Source organism: Homo sapiens, chromosome 3 (genome assembly GCF_000001405.40).
Source record: "Homo sapiens chromosome 3, GRCh38.p14 Primary Assembly".
Taxonomy (NCBI): domain Eukaryota; kingdom Metazoa; phylum Chordata; class Mammalia; order Primates; family Hominidae; genus Homo; species Homo sapiens.
In genome coordinates this window covers 172182463-172203035 of record NC_000003.12, presented here as the reverse complement: position 1 = coordinate 172203035, position 20573 = coordinate 172182463, and the positions used below count along the sequence as shown (strand labels likewise).

At 39.9% G+C, this 20573-nt stretch overlaps 1 protein-coding gene across 11 annotated transcripts in view, besides 1 other annotated feature; it reads right to left on the bottom strand.

The window, feature by feature from the left end:
• FNDC3B (fibronectin type III domain containing 3B) overlaps positions 1–20573 on the bottom strand; it is a 362092-nt gene that overhangs the window by 198634 nt on the left and 142885 nt on the right. The gene's annotated exons all lie outside the window — the stretch shown is intronic.
• Positions 8751–8941: a silencer, noted in NCBI's record as "fragment chr3:171911885-171912075 (GRCh37/hg19 assembly coordinates)". NCBI's record gives its function as "represses an EF-1alpha promoter that drives an FKBP-Casp9 reporter gene in an ReSE screen in K562 erythroleukemia cells {active_cell/tissue: K562}" and the evidence as "EXISTENCE:reporter gene assay evidence [ECO:0000049][PMID:32094911]".

The window sequence follows — 20573 nt, the reverse complement described above, 5'->3', positions numbered from 1 at the left end:
AGGAAAACTACTGCCAGCCCATGGCCGGCTTTGGTACAGCTCACAAGCTAAAAATGGTTGTCACATTTTTAAAGGGTTGTAAAAGAGTATGCATCAGAGACTGTATGTCTGCAAAGCATGTTATTTACCATCTTGCCCTTTACAGAAAAAGTGTGCCACACCCGCAGCAAACTATTAAAAAGGCTCAAGTAATAATTCTTAATTTTGTTTAAGCCAAATCATGAATGTGGAGCAAAATTATGAATGTGCTTTCAGGCAATCTCTTCCAGGGGTCATGGACCAGAGACTCAGGGGAAGGTGGAATGACCGCCCTGAGAACAGAAGGGTCTACACGGGAATCTACTCATTCAATAACAGATGGTTAATGAGACCATTCTTAAGACTTTATAAGAAGACAAATCTTGCATCCTTTGGGAAAGAGACCAATACACTGTTCCGTTTGGAGAATTTCTAACTTACAAAATTAGGAATAACCACTTGCCCTTACAAGGGGGTGTTAGTTGAATCAAGTGTGTCAAAGGATATGACAGAAAGTATCTAACAGGGGACGGGAGGGATCTTTACTACTATCATGTGTAGTTCTCTGGTCTTCTTGTAGAATACACAAAAGGAAATACTGGCCGAAAAAAAGCCAAAGCAAGGCAGAAGGCTTTATAAAATTCTTACTTTTTCTTTCTACATGCACAAATACAACCTCATACAGACCAGTCTGTATTGCTTAAGACTAAAGATTTCTGTGTTTTTCAATGAATAAAGGAAAGACGCCTTTTTGCAGGGAATGCTTAGCCCAAATTTCTAACTTACAAATAAAGAGTCATTAAAGAGAGGGAGGAAAAAAAGGGTACCGGGAAATTCTAGATGATGTAACTTCAAGTTCCTGCCTCATGATGGCCGACTCAACTCAGTCTGGAAATCTGGCATATGTGATTTGCCAGCTCAACTGCAGTTGCCTTTTAAGGAGCTCAAAATTTCATGCACTCAAGGGTTTATTTGTGAAGCCAGTCACTTTTTAGGAACTAATCATATATACATAATATTCTAAGTACAACATGTATCCAAGTTATTACATCATGCAAAAATGCACGAAGTAGAGCTGCCAGATAAAAGAGCACACCCAGATAAAGTTGAATTTCAAAAACACAGCAAATAACTTTTCATACCAGCATATCCCAAGTACTGCATGGGACACAATTACACTAAAAAAATGCTGTATATCTGAAATTCAACTTTAACTGGGCATCCCGTAAATTTATTTCCTAAATCTGGTAACCCTGCCATGAAAACATGAAGGCTATTCTGATATCCACTAAACAGCTGCCATCTTGTAACACGCCATGGTCTGGAGTTGGAGAAATTGCTAAGGGTGACTCAGACTCTCATTAAGTCAGCATTTCGTGCAAAGAATGGTCTAGAAAGATAGTTAATACCCACCAGGAGATTCCCATTGCTTTGCTTAGACAACCACAGGGAAATAAAAGGCCCATGATAGGGAAATCCTCTAGAGCTTACAGTACTGCTACCACTTCTCATGAGGTCACACTGAACAAAAGAGCCCAGTGGCAGAAGAACACTGCTGGGGAGCTAACTAAAAGGCCCACTCCACCGCACGTACGCACGCATATCCCATGTCCCTAATATGTCCAAGTAGTAGTGTTATTGTTTGTTTGTTGTTATGGGAGAAAGAAAAGAGGAAAAAAAACCTCACAGACACTCCAGGGTCTGGAGAGCAGCCAGAAGCAGGGTGGAAAAACTCCACCCTGCGCTTCCCCCACTGGGGCTGCAGCTTTCGTGAGAGGGCACCATGCCAGAACCCAGCCATTCTGGTAGGTTTCCAATGGAAGCGCTAACAGAACTTCACCGTAGGAGCCATTAGAGAGGCTGGCTGGGGCAGGGAGCTCTGAGAATATGGCTGGCCAAGTATTCAAACAGGAATAAGATAGTAAGCATAAAAATTCTGAACCACTGTTCAAACAAATCCATAAAGAAGTTGGTTTCCATTAACAAGTGTTATTCAAACTCTAGCTTTCTGCCCACATATGTGTACGGCAGAGATATTGAAAACAATTGCCACAAAGATAGCTCTTTTGTTAAAAATTAAACAAAAGAAAGGTACTCGGGTGCTGGGTACCCTTTTGAGAAAACGCTTCAAATTCTCTTTCCCCTCCCAAACAACAAGATCCATTTTTACCTAGTTTTCAGGTACAGTTTTATTTTTCAAGCTAGGTCACTTATCTGAGGGAATATACCATTGCATTCATTTGTTTAAACTACGGCTCAAATGACAAAAACAATTACAGATGCTCCTCCACTTAAGAGGGGGGTTACATTCTGATAAACCCAGCATAAGTTGCAAATATCTTGTCAAAATTGCATTTAATACACCTAACCTACCAAACATCATAGCTTAGCCTAGCCTGGCTTAAACACACTCAGAACACTTACATTAGCCTACAGTTGGGTGAACGCATCTAACATAAACACTATTTTATAATAAAGTATTGAATAACTCATGTAATTTATTGAATACTGTACTGAAAGTGAAAAACAGAATGGTTTGCACGGGTACTCATATGGTTTTTGCCAAATGCATATCACATTTGCACCATTATAAAGCCAAAAAATCACAAGTCTAACCATTGGGGACCTTCTGTATACAGCAGGTCTTTGAATAACGTTTCATTCAACATCATTTCATGATAACATTGATAAGAGAAAACAAAATTGACTCCTGGCCAAGGCCTCTGTGTGGAGTTTCCCCGTTCTCTTCTCCTCATGTCTGTGTGGGTTTTCTCTAGGTACTCCAGTTTCCTCTCACATCTGAAAGATGTGCACATTAGGTGCACTGGTGTGTCTAAACTGTCCAGTCTAAGTGAGTGTGGGTATGTGTTTGAGTGTGCCCTGTGATGGAATGACATCCTGTCCAGGGTGGGTTCCATCTGTTCCTTGTAATATCAGGATAGGCTCTGGCCCCCGCAACACTGAACTGGAATAATGGGTTAGAGAATGAATGAATGAATGAATGAATGAATGAATACAAAGTATTGTAAAACAGAAATGTGTAAAGTATATGGTAACCATACAAATGCACGAAACACAAAAGCGCGCAGAGAACCCACCATATTTATTGTTTGTTTGTAAACTGTGTGGTGGCAGGAGATGTTCCTCACAATTTTCACTTCGCAAACATTTATTCCTTAATTTAACCTGCCACCACCATGACTGCTGTCACTCACTCACTGGGTAAATAATTGTCTTCCTTGTTTTTATCAATCTTTCTTAAATGTGTGTATAGCTCACATTTATTTCCATGTTTACCATTAGAAATGTTTGGGGTCTTTGTTTAGAAGTTTGGTGATGTTTTGGGGGCCTAAAATATGCCACAGGAATTTAATTCTATTTATATCAATTAGCCTATGGTAAAATTAGTTTCATTATACATCATTTTGCTTAAAATAGCAGTTTCCAAGAACCTATTGATGACATTAAGAAAGGATTTAACTGTATACATAACATTTTCCTTGGTAAGTTCAATAGTGTTTTCAAAAATAAAATATTCTAGCCGGGCGCGGTGGCTCACACCTGTAATCCCAGCACTTTGGGAGGCCGAGGCGGGCGGATCACGAGGTCAGGAGATCGAGACCATCCTGGCTAACACGGTGAAACCCCGTCTCTACTAAAAATACAAAAAATTAGCCAGGCGAGGTGGCGGGCGCCTGTAGTCCCAGCTACTCGGGAGGCTGAGGCAGGAGAATGGCGTGAACCCGGGAGGCGGAGCCTGCAGAGAGCCGAGATCGCGCCACTGCACTCCAGCCTGGGCGACAGCGAGACTCCGTCTCAAAAAAAAAAAAATAAAAAATAAAATAAAATATTCTAAACAGCTTCCCTTGGAATATTAAAAATGAAAATGGGCCAAGCATGGTGGCTTACACCTATAATCCCAGCACTTTGGGAGGCTGAGGAGGAAGGATCATTTGAGGCCAGGAGTTTAAGACCAGCCTGGGCAACAAAGTGAGACCCTGTATCTACAAAAAAAATTTAAATATCACCCAGGCATGGTGGTGCACACCTGTAGTTCCAGCTACTCGGGAGGCTGAGGCAAGAGAATCACTTTAAGCCCAGGAGTCCAAGGCTGCAGAGAGCCATGATCACACCACTGCACTCCAGCCTGGGTGACAGAATGAGACCTTATCAAGGAAATGGAAAAGAAAAGAGCTCTTCTTCTTCTTCCTGTTCCTATTCCCTACCTCCAAGGTAGATATCCCAGGCTTAGGGGGTCAGCTTGATATGGGGAGTCAGGAGTGGGATAAGGAAGATGTCTAGATGTGGGAACAGCGCAACATGGAGTATCCACATAAAAGAATGGCCTGTTATGCAATGTGGAAAACAGTCAGGAGGAAGACATCACCTACGATGGCAGTCTGACATCAGGTATCAGAGCCTAGGGTGTGAGGGAAAGATGCACTGAGAGGCTGGTTACATGTACACGTGTCAGATTTCTGTCATAGAAATGGTAGAAGTTTTACAAATATAGAAAGAATTAGAACAACCCCTTGAGTGTTGGATCAGAATTGGAGGTATCAGTGTAAACTCCTTGATATCAAACTACATAGTAAGATGTAAAAATAAATATGTGTTTTTATGCATGTGTATTACCTATGGTGAGTGTCCAAGTATATTCATACATACATTCAAGTATTCTCCAGCTCTATCCACTAAGAGTTTTGGAGAGGCACAACTGCAATACTAACAGGCACATGTACCCCCCCACAGATCTTGGCTTCTAAATACGATTCTCTATTAAAAAAGAAGCCAGGACTTCTTAGAGAAATGGCTCATTCAGGACTAAGGCAGGAAAAGTACAAGATGAATATGAAACATCTCTTTGAACCAGAAAAGATGTGCTCAAAGAATGAAGAGGACATGTTAAAAGCACACATAAGATGGGTTAAAGGAATTTTGAGCATTAAAAAAATAGTAATGTATTATATATAACCCATTGAATTGTAACAAAACCATGAGTTGGTACTATTACAAATAATGAATAAATCAACAATCTGATGAGCAAAGGAATATTTATATCACTTTGAACTACCACCTTACAAAATATTTACTCATTACAATGGGAAAATTAGGACTTCTACAACGGAGAAGACTGGCAGGTACCATCTTAGTCAATGATCAAAGTGATCATCACCAGTAATGAGGCAAATCAATATTATGACCACCTGAAAGAATGCAATGAGAGCACAGTGTCACTTCTGTGATGTTCCTGCCAAAGATGGATAACCTGGATCTAATCATGAGGATATATCAACTAATTGAAATAGGACATTCTACAAAACAGCTGACCTGTAACTGTCACAAGTAACAAGGTCACAGCATTCTGAAAAAGACTGCATTATTGTGCCACTCTCAAAGAAATTAAAAAGACACACCAACTAAAGGACACATATAATTCTGAACTGAATCCTTGTGCTATAAAGGATTTTGTGGGGCTCACCGCCGAAACCTCAATGGGGTCTGAGGATTCAACAGTAGAAATATAGACATCAAAGTAAGTGTCCTAATGTTGATGGTTGTATTGTAGTTATGCAGATGAACATCCTTGTTTATGGGAAATACAACAAATATTCAGGGTTGATGGGCATCAAGAGACCAATTTACTCTCTAACGGTTCAGAAAAAACATGTTCTCTGTGCTATTCAAATTATTTCTCTAAACTAAGTTGGGGTTAGCTAACAAGTGCTGTCAAGTATTTTGCACCGTATTTGTAACAATTCTGCAGTTTTGAGGCTGTTTCAAACATTTTAAATAATTATTATTTTATTTTACTTTATTTTATTTTATTTTATTTTGAGACAGAGTCTCACTCTGTCACCCAGGCTAGAATCCAGTGGTGCCATCTCGGCTCACTGCAACCTCCACCTCCCAGGTTCAAGTGATTCTCCTGCCTCAGCCTCCCGAGTAGCTGGGACCACAGGCACATGCCACCACACCTGGCTAATTTTTGTATTTTTAGTAAAGACAGGGTTTCACTATGTTGGTCAGGCTGGTCTCAAACTCCTGACCTCATGATCCGTCCGCCTCAGCCTCCCAAAGTGGTGGGATTACAGGCGTGAGCCACCATGCCCAGCCAAGAATTGTTCTTTAAAAAAGAGAAAAGTAATAACCGAAAGCATATATTTAACCCAAATACAGACTGCCCATTAATTAACTCACTTACTCTGAGAGCTCCGGCTGTCTTCTTTGGACAAGAAAAAGCGAAACGTGAGGTGCCATCATCTGTGTGGCTCATCCTAACATTACAAGACTTTGAGGGCTGTCCTTAACCTCTAGACCCTCCCTCTTCTATTCAGGATACAATCAGAAGGGAACCTTTCACCAAGCTCTCCCAGGGGTCAGATCACAGAATGTGACCTGAAATGTCAGCCAATTCCCACCTCCATTTTACAGATGAGAAAACTGATGTCCCAGAAAGACCAAGAGTTAGGGCTAAAACTTAGAATGTCCAACTCTAAACTCAAGGAAAAAGACATATGGAAATAAATTATAAAATATTAAAGGCTGGGAGACTCTAATCCCAGTACTTTGGTAGGTCAGGGCAGGAGGATCCTTCAGGCCAAGAGTTTGAGACCAGCCTAGGCAACAGAGCAAGACCCCCATCCCTACAAAAAAAAAAATTAGCTGGGCATGGTGGTAGGCACCTGTAGTCTCAGGTACTTGGGAGGCTGAGGTGGGAAGGACCCCTTGAACCTGGAAGTTCGAGGCTGCAATGAACTATGATTACACCATTGAATTCCAGCCTGGGCAACAGAGCAAGACACTGTGTCTAAAAAAATGTTTTTACATTTAAGGTTAAATTTAAAAATAAATTAAATTTAAAAATCTGAAAAATCTTCCCAGCAATTAAAAGCTTTAGTGTGGGTGGCTTCATCAAATGCCAAGTACCTAAACCTTTCAGATTTAAAGAAACAACTCACAGCTCCCCAGAAAGTGTCCTCTATAATAATTAACATTGTACATTTACAAAGGCTCACATTAAGTGCCAGAAATTATGCTAAGCATTTCATATAATCTCATTTAATCCACACAACTCTTTGAAATCTAAAGGGTTTTATCTCTCATTTACTGTTGAGGAAACTGAGGATTAGTGTCATTATGTAACTGATTTAAGGTCAAAAAGTTTGAGGCAGAAGACCCAAAATTGGGTCCAGGCACTCTGACTGGAATTCCAAAGCCTGGGTTCTTAACTGTGCCCACTCCTGTGTAATTGAACAGCTCATCCTATTCCTCAGGCTGGCTTGTGACTTAACCTGTACTGCTACAAATGAGAATGGTGTCAAATGGGAATGACCCCTTCTGCATTGTACCTCTAAACAATAGTCAAGAACAGAGTTTCTCAAAATGTAATTTGCTGAAAACAAGCACCTCCAGGCATAGAGATAAAAAGAGAAAACAATGTGGAAGAGAGCTAAGTTACACAAAATTAACAGCAGCACAACTTCTCAGATTCTTAACGTGTGTTGTGGAGCTTTAAGCATCTGAAACCTTTTGCCATGGAGCAAAGCTTGTGAAAGCCAGCTTCCTGCCTTGAACAGAATTATTGACCCAGTATCAAGTGTGGTGCATTTTAAAAAATGCTACATAGTGTACCATTTGTTTAAAATAAAATGTTCAATCATTTCATAGCAAGAGCAATTGATATCAAATGACTAAAATAATTTCACACAGTGTTCTCCCTCGGGATCTCAGTTCAAATACTCTTCTATACATTGCAAATACCCTGCCAAGAATCACTCTAAGCAAACAAAAATGGAATGCTAAGTTAAGAGGGGTGGGGGTTGGGGTGCCACCATTCAAGACATAGATCCTTGTAACTAGTAAAAATACTAGTAAAAATAGGTTTTTATCTCAAGATCAAACTTTTTTTAAAATAACTAAAGGTCATGATTTAACTGAAAATAATTTAGACTTTGTTTTCTTTCAGTTTTTACAGACTTAGATTTATTTCTCTTCCTAAAGAAAAATTAGTTATAACCTTGGAAACTAATTCTGTAAGGTCCTCCACAGCTCTGATTAACAACCTCCCAGCGGTGCTAAGGAGTCCTAAGAAGCCGTTACTTCGCCAAGGCAACCTGATAACATAACAGGTTTCTTAGCAACAGGGTAGTCACAGTAACCATTCACCATGGTATTAGAATTAGGTTACCCACCAGAGTTGAGGCCAAAGGAATAATTTAAACTCATTAAATGTATAGGCCCCAGGTAACAAGAAAAATACATTTTTAATGCCACTTGTGATTCACCTCTGAAATTAAGTACTTATATGACTCTTCAGTGCTGGACTAGATGAGTAGATATTTATAAACACAATGTCAAGTGTTTCAAATACTCAATACCCTTTTCTTAATGTGAAGCTATGTATATGATCTATGTCATAATTATATTCTTTTCAATGAGTATTTCCACCAACCCATTTAGCAGTACCATATATAATTTTGATGAAAAGATGCAACTTTATAGAAGCAGTAAGGTAGAATCCAGACGCAGAAAACAATAACTTTGGAGTGAGTACGAAGGATTTTAAAATCCATTTAAATGGCAAATAACCAAAAACAAAAACATGTCTCATTTCACTTGACAGGTAAGGTCATCCATCAACGACAAGAATCACACGTTTACATTTTTGTAGCTCTCAAAGTATCTACTAGAGTACGAAACAGCAGAACCACATAAGGGCTGCTGGTTGAATAAATGCATCAATCAATACTACTCTACAACAGTATAACCACTAAGATAATTTTTCTTTTTTTTTTGAGATGGAGTCTTGCTCTGTTGCCCAGGCTGGAGTGCAGTGGCGTGATCTCGGCTCACTGCAGGCTCCGCCCCCCGGGTTCACGCCGTTCTCCTGCCTCAGCCTCCCAAGTAGCTGGGACTACAGGCGCCCGCCACCTCGCCCAGCTAATTTTTTGTATTTTTAGTAGAGACGGGGTTTCACTGTGTTAGCCAGGATGGTCTCAATCTCCTGACCTTGTGATCCGCCCGCCTCAGCCTCCCAAAGTGCTGGGATTACAGACGTGAGCCACCACGCCCGACCACCACTAAGAGAATTTTTAACATTTGGCCTGCTCACCCACAATTCTTATTTATCCAAAAACTTACTCCTTTCTTCCATTCACCCTTCAGTGTGAACACTTTAGTTATTAAAAAGATGATGTTATTTTTGAAAAGCTTTGTTGATCTTCCTTTTGTGGAACTAGTATAGTCTGTGATGTACTTTCCTCACAAGGGCACATTTCTAGACATCAAATACAGGTCCCTTCCAACATGGAGTACAAGCACAAGGAGGAGGAAAGAAAACAGGCCAAGTGAATCCAGACAGACCCAGGCTTCCCAAATCCTAGACAAAGTCCAGCAGTAGTGGGGATGGCAGAGGTGCCATCAGCCAGCGATCAAAATGCTACAGGGCATGCAGAGCAGACCCCTTAACCCCAAGCATAAGATTACAAATCAACCATGAATTAGGAGCTACACACCAAAACAAAAAGTCACTCAAAGTAACTGGTCTACTAAAAATTGAGTAATATGATCCATCTAATGCATCTAAATATTCTGCAATATCCCTTATTATACTTGAGACTAGCAACCTAAATATCTTGAAAAAAATTATAGAGAAAGCAGTTAGAGGAAGGAAGGGAAGGGAAGGGGAGGGGAGGGGAGGGGAGGGGAGGGGGATGGGAGAGGGAGGGGAGGGGGAGGGGGAAGGTAGAGGGAGAGGGGGAGGAGGGGAGGAGGGGAGGAGGGGAGGAGGAACGGAGGGAGGGATGGAAAGGAAGGGAGGGAGGGAGGGAGAGGAAGGGCGGGAATGAGGGAAAGGTGGGAAGGAAGGGAGGCAGGGAAAGGAAGGGAGGGAGGGAGGGAGGGAGGCTGGCTATGACCTAATATTGACACAGTAACACAAGAGGACAGATTTGGAGAGATAGGACAAAAGGACAAAAATAAGCAATTAACAAACAATCACAAGCAGACATTTAAGACAATCATTAATTTTCAAAGTAACTGCATTCTTCATACTGAAACTCTACAGATAATAAATTCTTTCAGATAACCGAGTTTGAGTTTTGACAAAAACTCAAACTGGTTGGTTTTGTTATTTCCAGTCTAGGGGAATAAACTGCATTTGTTACAGTCAACTCAGAGGTTCTGCAATTAAAGCCTTTTTACTAAAGTCAGTCCACTGGAGGCTACAGGCTCTTCATCTGAGAATCTTCAATAAGATGAGGTAAAAAATATATATATATATATTCATGCCCTGTAATTAGAGATCCTAACCGTCAACATTTATAAAATAAGACATTTATAGAATAAACACATGTGAGTGAACCACACTAGAAAGGTAAAAATTACTGAATTAGTATTAGTACTTATAAAACAGTTCCTGGCCTCTGCTATAATCAAGAACTTCTCTATTCACTCAGATTAGAGTTATTACTGTAAAATCTTTGTTTACTTGCCTCCCTCTTCAATTTTCTTACAATTAAAGACCATACCAGCCAGGCGCGGTGGCTCACACCTGTAATCCTAGCACTTTGGGAGGCCGAGGCGGGCGGATCACAAGGTCAGGAGAGCAAGACCATCCTGGCTAACACGGTGAAACCCTGTCTCTACTAAAAACACAAAATAATAATAATAATAATTAGCCAGGGGTGGTGGCACATGCCTGTGGTCCCAGCTACTCAGGAGGCTGAGGCAGGAGAATCGCTTGTACCAGGGAGGCGGAGGTTGCAGTGAGCCAAGATCACGCCACTGCACTCCAGCCTGGGGGACAGAGCAAGACTCCCTCTCAAAAAAAAAAAAAACAAAAAACACACACAAAAAAAACAGTCTTCTGTGTATTTGGTTAACAAGAGTTGGCTTTCCAAAGCCTGATCCAACCAAGCCTTCCTCCACCTTCCCAGGTAAACTTAAAATTGAGTTTCCTATCCTCTGAAACTAAGAATCAGATTGCTATGTTAAGAGAAATTATAGGTCTGGTAACATATGTACCACATACATGTACCACCCCGACCACACTTCAGGGCCATGGCATACACCACCAGACACTGCATTTGTCCCACTAAGCCCAGAGGCTACTTCTATATCCTCTACACAGCGCTCCAATCAGCTACAGTCAATTGATTGAGAGTTGGCAGAAGAGTCAAAACCTCATTTTCCCTGCTGCAAAATACACAGTGCCTGACACAAGAATTTGAGGCCAGGCACGGTGGCTCACGCATGTAATCTCAGCACTATGGGAGGATCACTTGAGCCCAGAAGTTCAAGACCATCCCAGGGAACACAGTGAGACCCCATCTCTACAAAAAATTTAAAAATTAGCCAGGCATGGTGGCATGCACCTGTAGTCCCAGCTATTCAGGAGGCTAAAGCAGGAGGATTGTTTGAGCCCAGGAGGTTGAGGCTGCAGTGAGCCATCATCACACCACTGCACTCCAGCCTGGGTGACAGAGTGAGACCTCATCTCTTAAAAACAACAACAATGAATTTGAAACCTAGATCCCCCACTCAAAGAATCTGCTTAACCTCTGAGAAATTCAGGCCCTCCTGTCTCTAGAATGGGGAATGATGATGAGGAGGACAATAATGATGGTATCAGTGACAATACTATCAGTTCTGATGGTACTTTAAAGAGTAAAATTTGCCCAGCACGAAGCAAATGTTTAATACATGTTAAGTTCTTCAAGGACACTCCCACTTCTTTCAATATATGCCAACATGTTAACATCAACCAAATTAAAAATCATGAGCACGTGCACAAAAACTCAGTGTGATGAGGCTAAAGAACCCAGGCTCCATTCATCAATAGCTGTGTGCTGTGCAACCTTGGGCAAATTACATGGCTTCTCTGAGCCTTAGTCTCTTCGTCTGGAACATAAGGAGGGTTGGTTATATTCTACAGTCTCATCTATTTATATAATTATATGATTTTAGATGTGAAATAAGATTAAAATATAAAGATAATTTCAAGTTCTTTCTTCAATATTTCATCATTAAACAAAAGACACAATGGGGCTGGGCATGGTGGCTCACGCCTGTAATCCCAGCACTTTGGCAGGCCAAGGCAGGCGGATCACCTGAGGTCAGGAATTCGAGACCAGCCTGACCAAAATGAAGAGACCCCGTCTCTACTAACAATAAAAAAATTAGCCGGGCATGGTGGTACATGCCTGTAATCCCAGCTACTTGGGAGGCTGAGGCAGGAGAATCGCTTGAACCCAGGAGGTGGAGGTTGCGGTGAGCCAAGATCGTGCCATTGCACTCCAGCCTGGGCAATAAGAGCAAAACTCCATCTCAAAAAAACAAAACAAAACAAAACAAAAAAAGACACAATGGTTATCAAACCAAGGCAAATTTTTGAATATTTAATCATAAACCCCTCCCTAGAAGGCGTCACAATAAAATAAACTGAACCATTATGGTTTAATTAGTTTATCCACTTGAGCCTTTTAATATTTACAAGGGCAAAATTTGAAAATTGACTACAGAATGAAAGGAGAGTCTCATGACCCAAATGCTGAGTGAAATAGATGCTGCAATCCGATTCCTAGCATTTGGAAGAACACTAAAAGCATTTCTACATCACCTTCTGATAACTCCCATAGCTGTTGAGTCATCTGCAACCAACTTTATTAAAAACATTATATTTCAAACTATATAATTTTAAACATCAGTGACAGGACACGCTGCTATCTGAATTCCAAGGTGTTTCTGACTTGCTACCATTCCCATAGCATCATGCTCATCCCCCTTCATTCCATTCACCCCTATTTGCGTAGGGCTGCCCATCATATTAAGCACCTTTATAAAGGGTCAGGCACTCCCAGTCGGCTGAACTCCCAAGAGAGGAAGCATTCTAGCAAGGCTCCAGCAAGACAGAGAAATGGATTAGAGTGGAGGATCTGAAAGCAGGCCGCCTGGGTTAGAATTCCAATTCCTGCTCTTGCTAGTTCTGTGAACTTGATCAAGACTTGACGTATCAGTTTCCTCATCTGCACAATAGGAATAAAAACAGCATACTGCCAAGACACAATAAGCCACTAGTAAATGGTAGTTGCTGGTTTTTGAAAATAATAAAAGATCACAATTAAACTGGTTCCCTATCTCCTCAGTCTGAAAAAATAATAAAAACATGACTGAATGACATGATTTTTTTTTTTTTTTTTTTTTTTTTTTTTTTTTAGACAAGGTCTCACTCTGTCACCCAGGCTGTTGTGCAGTGGCACAATCATAGCTCACTGCAGCCTCAACCTCCCAGGCTCAGGCAATCCTTTTGAGCAGCTGGGACCAAAGGCGTGTGCCACCATGCCTGGCTAATTTTTATATTTCTTGTATAGACAGAGTGTCACCATGTTGCCCAGGCTGGTGTCAAACTCCTGGGCTCAAGTGATCCTTCTGCCTCAGCCTCCCAAAGTGTGATTTAAAATAAAAAAAAATTCAAGTAAATCAAATTTGTTTGAAGCACTGGTTTTCTGGAACTCTCATTTATTATTAGATTTAAGAAGGCACTACTTTCATACTCCAAAAATAGAACAGACTACCTCGTTGCCATGGTGATCACCTGTTGAGGTAGGAACACCTTGTCATAGAAAATTTGGAATGAAAAGCAGGTAATTAGCTATGAAGGGTGTTGCAGAGGGGGCTGGAGGTGGGATAAGGTGGCCTCCAGCTAATTTGTTCTAAGTGGGAAATCATTTTTAGCACATCTTGAAAAATACGATTAACATGACAATATTTTGACTGAACATTTTTACAAATCTTCCCCCCTAAAATAACACCCTAGTAGAAAGCAACTTACATTTTTATAAATTAAAAACAATTGTGAATATTCTATTATTATGACAAAAATTTACTAAGTTTAGGTAAGTTCACCATTTCTTGGAAACAAGCATTAATGCTAAAAGAAATACTTACAGTTCCCCAATTATAAAAATACATTAAATAAGTTTTAAATGCTTCCTTTCCCAGTGAGATGATTCATTCTTAGGGTTCTTCTTCCCATAGTGAGGAAAACACCCAAGCAAGGATAAAACAATAGTGAACAAAATAAAATTATGTAATTGAGTACAAAATAGTACATGCAGTCTAAAATGTTGCAAGGAATGTAAGATACCTGGGGAGCAGTGCAGGAAGCGGGGTCTGATTGAGAGTTTCACACTTTAAGGGCACTGAAGATATAGAATCCAAAACAAAGGCGGGAAGATGAAATGTGCAGGGTGTGTGCTCAGTGTACATTTCACAGCCCTGAAACTTCTCAATTAAACAACTTCAGTTTCGGGCCGGGAGCCGTGGCTCACACCTGTATTCCCAGCACTTTGGGAGGCTGAGGCGGGCGGATCACGAGGTCAAGAAACCAAGACCTTCCTGGCCAACATGGTGAAACCCCATCTCTACCAAAAATACAAAAAATTAGCCGGGCGTGGTGGCACCCGCCTGAAGTCCCAGCTACTCTGGAGGCTGAGGCAGGAGAATTGCTTGAACCCAGAAGTCAGAGGTTGCAGTGAGCCAAGATCGCGTCGCTACACTCCAGCCTGGCGACAGAGCAAGACTCCATCTCAAACAAACAAACAAAGAAACAAAAAACCAACTTCAGTTCCACCACTCTAAACATAGCAAGGGGAAACTTCAGTTCCACCACTCTAAACATAGCAAGGGGAAACAGTAATGCCTATAAAACTTTGCTTAAAGGCCAGGCACAGTGGCTTATGCCTGTAATCCCAGCACTTTGGGAGGCCGAGGCAGGTGGATCACCTGAGGTCGGGAGTTTGAGACCAGCCTGACCAACATGGAGAAACCCTGTCTCTACTAAAAATACAAAATTAGCCGGGCGTGGTGGCACATGCCTGTAATCCCAGCTACTAGGGAGGCTGAGGCAGGAGAATCGCTTGAACCTGGGAGGCGGAGGTTGCAGTGAGCCGAGATCGCGCCATTGCACTCCAGCCTGGGCAACAAGAACAGAACTCCGTCTCAAAAAAAAAAAAAAAACTGCTTAAATATAAAAATGGAATTTAAATTATAACTCAATGTATATTCCTAGGGTTGAATTATAATTAATAATAATACAGGCTGGGCCGCGGCTTATATCTGTAATCCCAGGACTTTGGGGGGCCAAGGTGGGCAAACTGCTTGAGCCCAGCCATTTGAGACGAGACTAGGCAACATGGCGAAATCCGCTCTCTACAAAATTACAAAAATCAGCTGAGTGTAGTGGCATACACCAGCTATTCAGGACAATGAGATGGGAGGAACACCTAAGCTGAGATGGCACCACCACACTCTAGCCTGCGCAACAAAGTGAGAATCCAGTCTCCAAAAGAGGGGGAAAAAACAATACAAAGAAAGAAGTTACCCAAACACATCTGCAATATGTTTTTGGGCTACACTTCATTGAAGTTGGTTTAAAAGTTGTAGAAGTAACTGGATAATTATGTCTTCAATTTTTACTAAATATCATTGTTGTTTCTATTATAATATTCCTGAGAACTAATCCAGGATTCACACATTCAATCATTCCTCCAGTATTTACCAAGTGGCCAAGTGCTAGGCATCCCACCAAGGGGCAGAGAGATGAACAGGACTCACGACACCCCTACTGGCAAGAAGTTCAGCCATGGTCAATACAGATGTAAATAAAGCAATTATTTTATACGTTATTATTACACAATGAATAAGAAGAGGTCAAGTAATGTTTTTGCTTAACACATTTCCATTTATTATTTTTAATAAAGAGTTTAAGATCCCATTTTTTAAAAAGTACAATACAGTTGATTTTTTAAAATGAGGTTCTACAAACACTTTTGGACAGTCTAACATACATATAAGCTGTCCCTTTCAACTAGGATATGGGGAAAAGAAGTCAACCCAGTGTTTCCACTTTCCATGAAGGACTTCTCAAGGGCAAGGTAATAAGCAGGAATAAAGCTTCCAAAAACCTGGAAGGACTCTTTCAGGTGGACTAATAAGCATCATCATCACCTGCCTTAAACTACAGTAAAGCCAAGATTGTTAATAATATAGTTCCTTGCTTTTAGCTAGTATAGAAAATAAAATTGAATCACATTGTTGATGGTAATTTTACTTTTGAAACTCAAGTCACAGAACTGACTGTGGGCCACTTAATCCACTTCAGACATTGAAAAGCCACACCGCGAAGTGCTCGTAATGAAGAAATATCTATGACACAGATCATGAAACATGAGAGAGAACAAGGTAAGGGGGAAAAAGCTGAGATGAAAAAATCTTCAATCGCAGGCTCTCTTCACCACTTCATCTGTTAAAAGACAAAAAATCAAGATAGGGAGGTACTAAATGAGGACTCAAATTTTCCATGATTTTCTTGCCATTTTCTTCATTTTTTAAAATGCTGGTATAGGATTTATAAAATAAGAGTAAAAATACCATAGTGCCAAGACACTAGAAACCAGGAATTTGGGGAAATGGCATGTGTATTTTCTCCCTCAGCTCAGGTTTATGTAGTTTGTCAAGCTTTTCCCAGACTGGAGGGGTACTCACTGAGTCCCATGGTGGTCTTCTATGAAGTCACCTATGGATGTGTCCTACCATAAATCTTTAAATTTTTAACTGAACTAATAAAGCAAGTATTTCCGATGCTTTTAGAGGAACATGCTCAAACCCCAAATTGGGAGTTCTTTTCTTATAAAATGTTATGAGGGTGAGGAGAAAAGCACTTGTAATCCCAAATTTTATTTAGACATCAACAGTGATAAACCCAATTACTTATTTTTCCAGTTTCCATATAGTAAAGAAACTATAGTAGGCAGAGCATCATAAGAGAAAAAGGCTTTTGTTCTACTGATGGAAGAAGGGAGTGATGTAAGGATTTCTAAGAATGCTTAATTCATAAAAATTCGTGAAGCTTCCCAACTTTTGAAATCCTTACTTCAGCTTTCACTTCTCTCTTCCTCTTCTAACCTCTCTCACTTGAGACACTTGTAAGATCTATAACCATCTTTTTGCCAATTATATTAACGCTCCTTTTTATTATCTGGTTTCTACATCTTAGTCCACAAGCAAAATAGAAAGTGTGGTCCCCTAAATCAGTGACAGCTCCCAGAGCTAGCCATTTGGTGAAAATTCAATACACTTACTGGACTGAATTTGAGAGTGGCAAAGAAAGTGAAAAGTCTACATTAAAGTAATGCAGTATAATTTCCTCATAATTAAAAAGCACCGCAAATACGTCAAATTATTTTTCTTTGTAATCTACTAAATCACCAATACAAAATTCACAGATTCCATTGGCCTGTTTTCTGGCAACAGTAAATTTTCCTATGATAAACGTACGCTAAATAAAGACACAAGGTATCATGACATATTGCAAACAGCAAGGAATTAAGTTTTGCTTTTAAGTTTTTAAAATCAAAACATTCCTTTTCAAATCTCAATAGGAAATAGACCTCTGCAAAAGAACTATCTCAATCTTAAAAACTTGAAAATACGGTAGATACATTCTGTAGAAGAACTCAATGTCTCTATCTTCCCCAGTGTAACAATGCATGTTTTAAAAAGCTGAAATGCTCTGGTTTATAGTGCATGCAATTTTTCAGAGGTGCGGCCATGCACAGGATTAGGTGTTTTCCAAGTCTATCTGGATCGCTTCTCTCTAATCAATCTTCAGGCTATCAGGCCAATAAATGGGTACAGTGGGAAGAAGATGAGGGGCCAGAAAGGGGTCACGATGTTTTTTAAGTCTACCTAGCTGGAAGAAATGGGAAATCCTTTTTCCAACTTTTTATAAATGAAAAATCTATATGTCATGTGAAAGGAGTTATAAACTTGCCAGAACCAAACCAAATGGATGATGGAGTGGAGATTGTTCAGTGTTATTAATAGACCAATGTTCATGACAACAGTCTCTGAGGAAAACACAATTTCTAAATGGCAAATAGCAATGGCTTTCATCTACCCTCTTGAAAAAATATTTTTAATGGATAATTTTTCAGCACTTAAGACGGTGACTTCCAAAGTGGTCAGAATATTCCTTCTTAATGTTTGTATTTTGAGTCTTTTTTTCTTTTCCTTTGCTTCTGAATCTTAAGTTCATTTGTGGGAATTATCAAAAGGGATACAAGAAAAGACCTCTGCTAATTAGCAGTTCTTGGTGAAATATTTTTACAATATTCCTAGGGATTCTTGCTCCCCACCATCCTGAAAGAAAGGGGAGAACCTAAAGGAAAAGGAAAATTCCAAAAGAAAATTCCTTACAACTGTTACTTGAATGACTGGTGTTGAAACTCAGGAATAATTAGAATGTTGGTGTTTCCAACATTTAAATCTTAACCTCCTTCACATGTCCCTCCTGGATGATCACACACTGCCCTGTGAGGTATACAAACAATTAGCCTTTCTGGTTTTCACACTGATACACCATTTGTCACCATTTCAATGAAGATATGAAACTTGATAGGTCCTGGATTTGAGGGGGTTTTTGTCTGTTTTTAGGACTGATTTATTTTTTCCGCTCAACTCTTGCCTTTTCTTCATACTGTCCTAGGCTGTTTAAATAGAACCAATGACTAGAATAGTTTCTCATATTTTTATAAGTTTTGCCAGAAAGCATACCCTCCCTCTCTCTTACCTAGTATTTTCTTGATCGCCATCACCTCCTCTGGTATATGTTTATTTGTTTAACTCTTTCTTCATTGTCAGTTCTGTTTGCTGCTGTCTTCTCAGCACCCAGAACCAAGCCTGGCATGGTGAGTGCTCATTAATATGAGCTGAGTAAAAGAACAAGAGTAAAAGGGTACAAGAAGCAGCAGAGCGCAGAGATTAAAAGGGCTTTGAGGGGAATGGGGGCCTCTGGACAAATTTCCACCCCATCACTTCATAGCTCTTAATAGCTGCAGGCAAATTACTTAATATTCATTTTTTACTTGTATTTACTTTATAAATTACTTATCTTTATTCACTTATGCCTCCATTTCTTCCTTTGTATTTTTAATAACAGCACCTACACCTCCTAAAGTAATTCTGGGGATCAGGAGGAGGTTACACATCTAGCCATGTACCTGGCATAGAGTAAAAATGAATAAAAGTTAGCTAGTAATATTAATGCAAATCATTATGCCAAAACTTAAGGATAGGAGGAACAAGAAGCCCTAGTCTCAATATTACTGCTTAAAATACTGGAAAGTCATCAGACCTATCAAATGATGGGATGTCAAACCTTCCATTTCCAGAGTGGAAGGGAAGCTACGTGAGAAAGGAAGAAAACACATCCCGCCTACAGTTTAATAATTTTATAATATAGTTGAATTTAATAATACTTCAACAGGTTATCTTAGTTAAGAAGAATAGACAAGGCATATAAACTGCTATGTAAGATTAGCAACACCTGGATAAGTGAAACCATGAAATGTCTCAGAAGACTGAAAGAAATGTAGTGTTACCTGAAGACAAAACGGATTGAATTTTCTTATAAAGCAAACCAGCAGTAAGACCAGTAAGCAACTTAACTGTGTTTCCAACAACAACCAGAAATGGGTTAAAATGATACACACATTCTGACACAGTTCCCTCTCTCAAGAGCCATACTGGACATAAAATTAAGTTAAGCAAATCATGTTAATGACACACAGCAAAAGAGGTATAAAATCAGAGTTTTTCATACATTTATAAAGTAGATGAGAAATGATAGGTTTTAGTACATGGTAAATATAAACCTCTGGAAGTGAAATTGGGAGCAAAAGGGTAATTTTCATTTCCTACTTTACTGGAAATTATAAATTTAAAATTTTTATAACCAATTGTGTTTTTAAATCATCAAACTTAAAAGCTGTCAGATTAAATTTCTGGCTCACTAATCAGAAAGTCTCACTTCATAAAAAACACAAAGAAGAACAAGGATGACCTGGATCTGTCCACACAAATTCTAAAGAGCAACTGCCCAGGGGCTCCTTATTTCTTATTTTTAGAAATTTCATGTCACAGAAGGTGAAAGCAATCTAGAAGACTCATCTTTTAGCTTGCTGTATCTTGCTTTGACTTGCCAAATAGACAACACAATCAGCTTTCCGTAATTTCTCTGCTGCTAGTGTGGCAAAAAGGTGAAGTTTCAGAGCTGAAAGCTTCGTGCCTACACTCAGAGTTCCTTTTACTCCCTTTTCTAAACTAATAAAACACTTCATCTCCATTTCTCATTCACACACCTCAAGTTCATTACATCCTGGTACCAAATTAAACAAATCCTATGATAAGAGAGCTGAAAATTTACTCATGTATCACTGCACTTTTACTTCTGTCGACACGAAAAACATGGAGGATACATTCAAAGTAGAGAAACTTCTTAAGATTCTATGTTGGAATTCCCTGCGTTTAACAGGTTCTTGCAGTCTGGACTTGACTGCAGCAGAGAAGCACTGCTGGATTGAGTATTACACCCAATACAAATCACATCTTGCCCACTCACCTAGCAAATGCCTCCAGCAAAAGTGTATCTACCACAACACCACTGCCCTGTCAGAGCGGACAACCAAAATAGACACATAACCTGTAAGGTC